General features: G+C 39.5%; 1 protein-coding gene across 11 annotated transcripts in view, besides 1 other annotated feature; it reads right to left on the bottom strand.

Moving 5' to 3' along the window:
- Positions 3,562 to 4,119: an enhancer, noted in NCBI's record as "OCT4-NANOG hESC enhancer chr15:69564446-69565003 (GRCh37/hg19 assembly coordinates)". NCBI's record gives its function as "activates a minimal SCP1, AML or CMV promoter by ChIP-STARR-seq in primed H9 embryonic stem cells {active_cell/tissue: H9 hESC(primed)}" and the evidence as "EXISTENCE:reporter gene assay evidence [ECO:0000049][PMID:30033119]".
- The window catches only part of GLCE (glucuronic acid epimerase), a 111,573-nt gene continuing 104,368 nt past the window's right edge, over positions 4,019 to 11,223 (bottom strand). For 8 of the 11 annotated variants that reach the window (NM_001324093.2, NM_001324094.2, XM_047432377.1 and 5 more), the window contains one exon: positions 4,019 to 8,006. In NM_001324093.2, the coding sequence (NP_001311022.1) occupies positions 6,982 to 8,006 (1,025 nt within the window). In that variant the 3' untranslated portion in view covers positions 4,019 to 6,981. Of the gene's footprint in view, positions 8,007 to 8,587; positions 9,452 to 11,223 lie in introns of those variants that run through there. The other 3 variants (XM_047432380.1, NM_001324091.2, XM_017022074.3) reach the window with 1 other exon arrangement.

The raw sequence follows: 11,223 nt of genomic DNA, 5'->3' as shown, positions 1-11,223 counted from the left end.
GGGTTACAATTTTTTGAATTTTTGCACGAATGAAAAATCAGACCTTGGCGATGACCTTGAGCAGTAGGATGTAAATAACTCCCACATGCTTAGCATTCCGATAATGGAACACTAGGCAGCAGTGTTTCTTTTTCTCACCTACCAGGAGTCGGGCTTCCAGAGTCATGGTGAGCAGTTAATGAGAGTTAGTTTGAGGAGCACCTGTAATGGTGCCTGTTTCCTCTTCCTATTCCTAAATGCTCATTAGCAAGAAACACTAACCCAGGACCATGGTTTCCAGTACCCCAGACACTGAAACCTACTAATTCAAGCTCACAAGAAGTTGCCTAGGTAATTTCTTCTGATGGATATTTTCAGATGAAGAGAGTGCCTCTTTCTGTTGCCTGCAGTAGCTGAGAAGATAGACAGACACTTTCCCTAAGACTACCTTGCCACGCCATTGATAGGAATCTGTTTGGGGCCTCCCACTGTATTCAACTGAATTGCAGAAACTTAACTTCATTGGTGTTAAAAAGGAAAGATGACAGAATAACAGGCATTAAATTAAGATCATGCATCTTTGCTATATGTTTGCTTAAAAACAAGACCTCTTCCTCACCCCACTTCAGAGATTTACTTCCTTCTGTAGTCCCCAGAGAGATGAACTCTCTTTACTAGATTTTCTGAACTGAAATGGAGCAGCCATTCTTATCTCAGTGATTTCACTAGGTGCTGACAGAACAGAGCAAACTCCCAGGGAGACACCAGCTCTTCTGACGTTAAGCTTAGATGCAATGAGCTTTGCGTTGCTTAAGAACATCTTATCTAAACTGTGTATTTAATACCAGTTGTCCACTGCTCTATTTCTGGTCCTTCACAGGACTTTTTTTCCGCCCCTTTTGCTGTTCTCTTTGCTACTGCTCTTTGATGGCTTGCTTTGCAGTCCTGTCATTTTGTGAAATCCTCCTAGAAAAGGATTAGCAAAATTACACAGTGTTGCTGCTACTTAACATTCAGGAAATGCAGCATACGCATGCAAGTTATCAATCATTCTTACCAGATGGTAAATGTATCTCTTTTCACCAGAAATTGAGCAGCAAACATTCAAATTCATCACCAATACAACATTTACATTCACATCCATTTTCAGTTTGACATCCTTAATGAGCTGGTATAATGAAAATCAATACTTTATCCCTATATTGTTATTTGTAAGTTACGATAGTGCAGACTTGGGATTAAAAAATTATCATTAAACAAAATCTCACCACTACTTGCACTTTTATATACTCTGTCTATACTTCCCACCAACCCGCTCCCAGTACCCCAGAGTTCTGCATTCCGAATGAGCTAATGAAAAAGGCATACAGGTAAGAAGAATAAAAACCTAGAAGTTGTTGTTGTTTTTACCACTGCTTAAATTTAGTGGTTACCTTTTGTTAGTTTATTACAAACTTTGAGAGCAGAGTTCTCTATTTATTGGATTGTACCATGAGGCAACTGAAGTCTATGGGGTGAAAGAGTAAATTCTTCTTTTATTGAGACGGAGTCTCACTCTGTCACCCAGGCTGGAGTGCAGTGGCATGATCTCAGCTCACTGCAACCTCTCCCTGCAGGGTTCAAGTGATTCTCCTGGCTCACCCTCCTGAGTAGCTGGGATTATAGGTGCGCACCACCATGCCTGGCTAAATTTTGTATTTTTCGTAGAGACGGGGTTTCGCCGTGTTGCCCAGGCTGGTCTTGAACTCCTGACCTCAGGTGATCTGCCCACTTCGGCCTCCCAAAGTGCTGGGATTACAGGCGTGAGACACCGGACCTGGCCTGAGTAAATTCTTGATGCTCTAATGGCTGAGCCAGGGAGCCCTGTATTCTGAGTACCAAGTCTAGATTTCTGCCCAACTAATGTTCCCTACAGATTTCAGTTTTGTCCTTCAATGATTATCATCGAATTAAATGGCAACCCTTTGAGTGGTTGCTACTGGCTGAATTGTGTGCCCCTCACCACTCACACGTTAAGTCCTAACTCCCCGGCATCTCAGAACGTGACTGCATTTAGAGACAGGCCTTCAAAGAGGTAATTAAGGTAAAATGAGGTCACATGAGTGGGCCCTAGACACAGAGAGCACAGTTGGAGAGACAGCCTTGAGGATACAGCAAGAAGGCACCATCTGCAAGACATGGTGAGAGGTCTTGGAAGAAACCAAACCTACCAACATCTTAATCTTGGACTTCAAGCCTCCAGAATTGTGAGAATAATAAATTTCTTGTGTAAGCCACCCGGTCTGTGGTATTCGTTAGAGCAGCTCTAGCAAGCTAATACAACAGGGTCCAGATTGGAGGAAAATGCAGAATTTACACTGTATTTACACGTATTTTCCTCTATAATGGAGATACATTATTAATTAGGGCTCATTTGTTGCAAGTAACAGAAACTAAATCCAGCCAACTTCAGCAAATGTTAAGAATTTATCCAGCCGGGCGCGGTGGCTCACGCCTGTAATCCCAGCACTTTGGGAGGCCGAGGCGGGCGGATCACGAGGTCAGGAGATCGAGACCATCCCGGCTAAAACGGTGAAACCCCGTCTCTACTAAAAATACAAAAAAAATTAGCCGGGCGCGGTGGCGGGCGCCTGTAGTCCCAGCTACTCGGGAGGCTGAGGCAGGAGAATGGCGTGAACCCGGGAAGTGGAGCTTGCAGTGAGCCGAGATTGCGCCACTGCAGTCCGCAGTCCGGCCTGGGCGACAGAGCGAGACTCCGTCTCAAAAAAAAAAAAAAAAAAAAAAAAAAAAAAAAAAGAATTTATCCTAAGGATACAGTGGTACCTCGCGGAACCTGAGAGGAATACAGCTGGCCTCAGAAGGGCATTGGATCCAGGGCCTGGAGCATTGTCTTCTGTTTCTCATCTCCGCTTTTCACTGTATTTCTGCTTTAGTTTTTTAATCCATCCCATTTTGAATTCCTGGGGAAAAGACTGATTGGTCGGCCAGCTTGAGTGAGGGGGATTCGCCCCTCGTCTAAGTCATGGCCAGAGAAGGCAGGGTCACATGGCATACAGTGGCCGCCAGAGCCTGTGGCTATGAAGGGAAGGAGCACTCATCAGACTGCCAAGTAAGTTCTCTGGAGTATGGAGGGCCCACCCCACTCAAGGGCAATGGGGAGATGAATATGAGATGCTCAGTGTGCTAAGGCAGAACAGCCAACGTATTAACAGTTTGGCTACAAGCAGCAAAATCAAAGCAAGAGCAGCTGGAGAGCTCATTCAGCCCAAGACTTCTTGCAACCTTATGGCCATTTCCCAACTGAAGACGGTGGGGAAGGAAAAGCTGCCAAGAATGTTGATTAGTAGCCTGTCAAAATCTGTGCACCCATCAGCTGGAAAAAGTTGATTCGTGATCAATTGTAATTCCATTACACAAATGGTGCAGAATGTTTATAATCCAAAAAATACTGTGCAATGAAACATAACATGAAGCAAGACTCTGGTCTCTGGTTTTGTCTGTTTGGGAGGTTAAATCATTATTCTTTGAGAAGGGGGTAAACATTAAATAATGCTAATTGTTCTGAAGAGGCAAGTAGAGAAAATATATGAGGGACAAACTCTCAAATAAATCTAAATAAAAAATGGTTACCCAGTCTGAATGAGCATGGGAAAGGCCATCCTCTCACCTGGCATGGACACCTGTTTTTGCTCAGGTTACTCCCTCCTCTTCTTCCACCTGGACTCCACCCCTGGAACACCAGCTTAGGCTCTGTCTCTTCCCTAACACCTTCCCTGAGTACACAATTTAGCATTTTATTTTTCTTCGAGTTTTTAGTATACATTGTGCTCCCCCTTGAAGACTAAGGGTCCTTAGGATTAAAGCCCATGCATACTCTTTGTTCCCACACATTGTCTGACAGGGCTTGGTATGCCTTTGATGAACAACATTTGTTGCCTGACTTCTGGTCACGGGTTGAACAGGAAATGGTCAGAAATCTGCTTGCTGGGCTCAAATAACCTTAGAATAATTTGAGAAGAAAGAGAAATATCCAGGTATATTCTTTTTAAGAAAAAAACTTTATTTTACAGTTTTATAAAGCGGCTTTACATTAAGCACAAACAATCCATTTACTTTGTATAGAAACAAAATACCTTTCCATCTGCAAAAAATCAAGTTTTGCTGTATATAAAACTAACATGTGCACATTGTGCTTAAACTGCAAAGTCTGTACAGCTTTACAAAGGACTACCCTTCAGAAGGGCATCCTGTAAACACTTTATTGCATATTTAACATATGGTATATAACCCACATGTACAATGGAAGAGAAACAAGAAAAGCAACCACAAGGAGGATGAAAATAGCAGCTTTCAGTGAGAGTCTGCACTGAGAAAGGAGAAGGAGCCACGTCTGGAGAGTTGTGCTTGTGTCATTTTTGCACTTGCTTCTGTGCGCTGGATGGTTCGTGGATGAAGCCTTTATGTACAATAACTCCTAAAAGGTCAAACTTGACCTTCATCCAGAAACTTTTGGCTGGTTTTACAACTGAAGTAGCAATAGATTTAACATCAAAGTGAACTCAAGATAAGTGGAAAAACAAAAACAAACCTAATACCTATAATCTTAAAGCAAAGAAAAACTTAAAGAAATAAAACAATAAAATTTAAAAATACCCTCCCCATTCTCTCTAAGCTCAGAATAAGTAAACATTTTACATAATTTAAAACCCTAGAAAATTCTGTAGTTGTTTAGAGGCAAAAATGCAATGGATAGTCCAGGGCAGTGTTCCTCCCTGTATGCCCCCAGCTCACCTGCATCAGAATCACTTGAATGCTCATTACAAATGCAGACTATCATACTTCACAGGCAGATTTACTGACTCTGGGATCTGCATTTCAATAAGCTCCCAAGTGATGCTGAGGCATTTTAAAGTTTGAGAACCACTGGTCTGTACTGACAATGCTGCTATAGATTCAACTCATCCTCTTAGAAAATTCTGGGATCACAAGAAATCAACTTGCTGTTGCAATGTGGAAGGCAGTGTAAAACCAACAGCAAGGAAATCACAACGCTATTTCTAGATCAAAACGTCTTTCCTTCTTCAGTGGAAAAGGACAGCCACATTGTTAAGGCACGATATTTGTCACAGAAGCAGTACCATACTGTTATCATCGAGTCTCATAATCTGAAGACCAGTATGCAAACAAAGCAGACGTATGAACCATTCTAAATAATAACAAATATGGGGAAGTAAAAAAGGTTCCCAGACTGGAGAAAGTTTATTTTGAACATCGGCACTGGGAATAAAAATTAGGGGAGACCAGATATTCTTGCTGAGACATCTAACATATATGAAATGCAAAGGTCAAAAGCTAGGGGTAAGCCTAATAACTCAAAAAAGTGTTTTTACTGTGAACAAAATTAAGAAGAGTGTGGTCACATCAATTGGGAGTTCAAGCTTACTTTTCTATGGCCAGTCTAATGTCTTCAGTGCAGATCTGTATCTTCTTTGCTTCTGCCCCCTTTGATGCTAACATATATATGTTTTCCAGTTTCTAAGTAGTGCTTGATAGTTTGAATTCAATTAAAATATAGTGTGTAAGCAGGTAACCTACCTGGCTCCTAAATGTGTACTTGATATAGGTCACAGATAAATGTATTGTGTTTGTCAGACTCGGTCCCCTGAAAGTGTAGGGTATCATATTTTCAAACTGTATAAGATATAGTATTGATTTAGTGTACTGTCACAGCAAAATCAACAACCCTCGGTTTTATTTAATGCCTGAAGCCCTATAGCAGACACTGCCCATTGTATGGGGGCTCTGAAATCTATTTATGTGCGGTATAGGAGGATATGTATACCTAAATAAAGATCTGATTACACATAAGTGCAGTAACATCCCTTCTATCTAATAGCTGGGATAATTTAAAATTAAATTAAAAAAAAACACCCAATGATGCACAGACTTACTAGTTTGGGAAGCTGATGATCAAGAATGATCTTGGTAGGAAAAAAAAACTTTGCTATGATTTCTTGCATATAGTATTTGATCTAATATTTTTATTTAAAGGGGGAAAAATCCTAAAAAAGTAAAATATGGTGGTGGCCTTAAAGCTACTAGCTCCTTTCCAAATTTAGATTTGTAATAAGTTTCCAAAATAATGTCCCAAAAATATCTCTCTCAAAATATACAAAACTCCAAGGTATAGTCTGAAATAAAATACAAAATTCTAGACAGTGACAAAAAGAAACTGTCACAATGGGGGTTGGGAAGGGATATACTGATTATCAAACTTTTACTGATTGTAGATCAAGTTTCAAAACAGAAACATTTTTGTAATTTCTTGTGCAGTCAACAAGTTTCATTTTAGTTGTGCTTACATTATATAACTGAAGCCTGAACACTGATTGTGTTTTTAATTTACACGTTTCAAGAAAACCATAATTAAATATTCACCATATACAACAAATTGAACAAATGCAACAAATACTCATTTGCTCCCAAGAAATTAATCTTTAGAAAGGAAACATCTTTTTAAAAAGTTGAACACAGTCTGCTATCCAGGCTACAAGTACATATTTACTGTGTTACAGCACATTATTTTTTTTAAAGTCCGCTTTCAACATAAATATAAATAATCACATTTTAAAAGAGCTCCATACTAAGTTTTCAGGTAAGTGCTAGACAGTTGGCCAGTAGCAACTACTTACCATTATCTTTCTCACATAGAGTGACTAGACTATCTGCGAAACTGTATAGGGTGATGGGCAAGGCAAAGTGAAGCATCTTTGTTCAGCCCATTGATTAAACATTGTGTTCTAAATGCCACCTACATTTCTAAATACCCAACCCATGGAATGCAATTATTTTAGAAGGCTGGTTTTAAGGATCACTTATCACTTTGATAGAATCCACAAAAACCTAGTACATAACCTTTTAAAATGTGCCTATGCTCTCCTGAGACAGAGCCTGTAGTTTCTGTGTACAGCAGAGGCTGAAGTGCAGTTTTGGTTGTGAGCTCTAGTTGTGCTTTGCCCTGCTGCCTTTAAGGTAGCTTTTCCACCTCTTGACAAATTCTTTGAAGACTGGGGACTCATCAATGGTACTGAGTAGCTGCAACTGATTGATGTGGGTGGTATGATAGTCCCAGCGAGCCAGGTTAGGAGCGATGCCAAGCATGAAGTGACGGAGGTCATAGATGGTTCCTGAGCCAGTGTCATACAAGGGCAGCATGGCTTTAAGAGATTCCATGCCACGCTCATACAAGGACCTTGCTTCTTTTCCGAGTTTTTCCCCTGCAGTTTCTTTTAAGTCATACAGCCCAATTAAAGAATACATAAAGCCATTTAAAACAAAAGAGCTAGGTGTGGTTGGATATTCTTCATACCAGTCATGTTTATTCATAAACACAGCTTTAACTCCATGCTGCTCAGATAGAAACTTATAAGGGGCTGTTGCCCTTAAAGCTGAATTGAGGAATATATGGTCTTTTGTTAACAGATAGGCCCTGACTAATGTAGAAATGGCTTGCCCTTGGGCCATGGCAGAATACCATCCTGGCTCTAAAGACTTGAACCCTTCCCCTAACTTACGGGTCACCATAATTGGCCAGCCACCTTTCTCATCCTGGTTCCTTACTAGCCAATCACTAGCAGCAAAAAATGCAGCCATGTGGGCTGTGGTAGAGATGGTAATGTTGTCGAGGAATCCCTTACCTTTTGCAATCAACCTAACCACCTTCTTGGGCATTATTTTGGTTGGCTTGACAGCTTTTGTGTTTGAAAGACCCACTCCTTTCCTGAGGTCAGTGACCAGGTCCCTGGTAACTGTGCTCCATGAAGTTCTGGGCCCAATGCCATAGTATATATCTCTTTCTTTAAAAGCAATTAGCTGAGCATTTGAGACATAATGTATAGTGAAGAGCTGATTCTTTTCTGTGGTCTCTAGAACCACGGACACACTTCCATTTGTCAAGAACTTGAGGTCAAATGAAATAATAAAATCTTTTGTGTTTCCCAGTTGCAAGGATACACCTTCACTGGTTTCTGTAGGGGAGAATATACCAACAAAGACTGGTTAGAATAAAAGCACTTTTGTATTTGAAATTGAATTGCAATTCATCCTTGAAAACCCTGACCGCACAAAATTAACACTTACATATTTTTAGTATCAGATCATTTGTAATTTTATTTTTTATTAAATTAAACAAAAACAAATGACAGAATTGGTGAGTTCACGATGGCTTGTGAGCATCAGGCCAAAGCTCTTACCTTTTGCCCTGTCTAGGTTCTAGCAGAGGATTGAGAGCAAATGGCTAAGGTATTGTTGATCAAAACTGCCTTTCCTAAATCTAGTACTAGCTGATCAGTAATCAATGACTATTCTACTATACCCATTCTGCAAACAGAAAAAAAAAAAAAAGCCAAAACCTGGCTCAGCACATAATATTGCAAGAAAGAGGCTAGAAAAAATGGTTATACATGAATTTTAAACTATTTAACATTTAATATGTACTTACTATGTTCTAAGGGCTTTACACCTATTTATTCATTTAATCCCCTGAACAATTACAAGGGTAGGTGCTATTACTATTACTTTATGGATGAGGAACTGAGACACAAAGAAGTAACTTGCCCAAGGTACAAGACTTGAACCCAGGTTGCCTGGTCTCGCTCCACAACACATTATTAATTTGATTTTGAAAATGATAGATTTGTTTTCACATACTTGCTAGAAGTGCTAATAAAATTTCTGGAAATTAAGCAATGGGCTCATGTGTACAACAAAAAGTGAGAGAATGGTGGAGTGACAGGGTAAAGCTCAGGCTTTGGAGTTTAAAAACCTCAGATTTGAATTTTTGTTCAACCACTAGCTTTGAGAAGTCTGGCAAGATGCACCTCTTTGAGCCTCAGTTTCTTCACATGTTAAATAGAGATAATATTACTTTGCAGGGTAATTGTGAGGATTTTAAGAAAGACAATGGAGTGGAATATAGTAATAAATGATGGTTATTATTCCGAAGCCACTGGCTTCAGAGGTCAAAAAGTTAAAGCTGTTTTATTTGACAAATTATTAAAGAGAAAATTTCTCTTGAATATTTATAGTATTAATGATGGCTAATTCCCAGAAAGATGACATTTTGAATACTGCTCATCTAGATCTACCAAGAAACTGAGCATATTAAAATAGCAGTAGCAGCAGCAAGAATAAGAACAACAAAAATATACGTAGTACAAATTTTAAAATATTAAAGGGAAATCTTCCTATCTTGATCTTTTCACAGCTTAAATGTCCAAAACGCATTCACATGTATTATCTCACTTGATACTTAATCTTCTGAAGCTGGTAGGGCAGGAATTATTATATTACATCTCCATTTTAGAGGTGAAGATATGTAGGCTTTGCAAGGTTAAATGGTTTGCCCAATGCCAAAAGCTAATTAGTTGTAGAGCAGGGACTAGAATCCAGGTTTCCCGGACTCAGGTTCAGACTGTGAAAAAGACAAATGATATTGGAGATGGTATTCTTATGAGAATATTCAATAGAAAGGTTCTCTTAGATGCAGCCATAGAAGCAGATCTATGCTTTGCAGAATCCTTGAAAAAATCTTTAGTGTGTCACCAGGAGCAAAGATCAGAAATGTGAACTGGGCCAGGCACAACTGGTCACACTCAGCAGTTTCGGAGGCCAAGGCAGGAGGACTGCTTGAAGCGAGGAGCTTGAGACCAGTCTGGGCAAGAAAGCGAGACCCTAACTCTACAAAAAATATAATACAATAGCCAAGTGCAGTGGCATGTGTAGTCCTAGGTACTTGGGAGGCCAACGTGGGAGGACTGCTTGAGCCCAGGAGTTTAAGGCTGAAGTAAGCTATGATCACACCACTCTTGTTCTGGGTGACAGAATGAGACTCTGTCTCTTAAAAAAAAAAAGAAAGGGAAAAAGGAATGTGAACTGATGATAGTGTATACTTGGAGGGTGTCAGTATGCTGAGTTGATCATTTAACTCTTGCAACACTGGACTCAAGCAGTATGGTTATATTTGTCCCAAGGCTCTTAATTACTTCATTGGATGGAACAGACAATTCTGAAAGTTGTATCAAGAATGAGAACATCCTCATAGACTTATGCATCAAACAATGCTCTGAGTAACTTAATAGAAAAACTGATTGCAGAAGTAAACTTCTAATACAGTAAAAAATCCATCTTATCTGGCAAAATGTCAACATGTACTCTCTCTCTTAACTAGCATTTTTCTGCATCTATAGTAAAATGGGATCTGAAGTTCAGGACAACATCCCTGAAACACTGCAGGATTCTGAACTGACTTATGAACCACTCAAGATTAAATTATATTCAGTGGAGCAGACTATCTTGAGTGCTTATTTTTTCATTCTCATCAGATGGGATTATTAACTATGACGTCTATTCTGGCCAAACTGGATAACAATGACCCATCTTTAGAAGTCCAAGTGTGAGGAAGCTGGAAAAGTACCCATTTCCTCCCAGAATTTCGGAAGCTGGAAGAGTACCCATTTCCTCCCAGAATTACAATTTTATTTACACAAATTTAATGAAATGACATGGTTTAATCAGTCACCTTATATCTTCATATGACAAACCAGTCCAAAGAACTCAGTAATGAACGATGTCAAGGGATGTAACCTTTTAAAAAGCCAATGTATTAATTTTCCTAAGACCTTAACACCAGCAGAGGGTGTTACTGAGTCATCTAGGAGAAGTGACAGAAGTCACAATCCTCAATTTAAATTAACCAACCAACAATTATAATCTTCACAACAATCTTACAAATCATTTAATTCCCATTTTATAGATATACAGAGGACGTTAAATAACCTCCTGGCATCATTCACGAGGACCTGAATGGGAGCAAATGGGATGGTGGAAACCAGTTTGGCAATGTACCAGGTAAGGTTCTGAGCTCTACTGGAGGTACTAGGCTATCTGAAGATTCCTCCTTCAAATCTAATAGAAAGTTTTGTTTTTTTTTTATTGTTTGAAAGCCATGACCCATCCTCTCCTAACCAGTTATTCCCAGTAGTTACTATAACTGTTTATTTTTGGTATATGTGACACATATATATGCACTTTAGGCAATAAAGGATGATCAACATTTAAGAATACTTTTGACATTGGTCTTAGCAATGATTGTTTAGATTTGACATCAAATGTACAAGCAAAAGGGGCACAGAAAAACAAGTGGGACTACATCAAACTAAAAAGCTTTTGCACAGCAAGGGAAAC

This window comes from Homo sapiens, chromosome 15, assembly GCF_000001405.40.
Source record: "Homo sapiens chromosome 15, GRCh38.p14 Primary Assembly".
NCBI lineage: Eukaryota > Metazoa > Chordata > Mammalia > Primates > Hominidae > Homo > Homo sapiens.
This window is presented reverse-complemented; position numbering and strand designations above follow the sequence as displayed.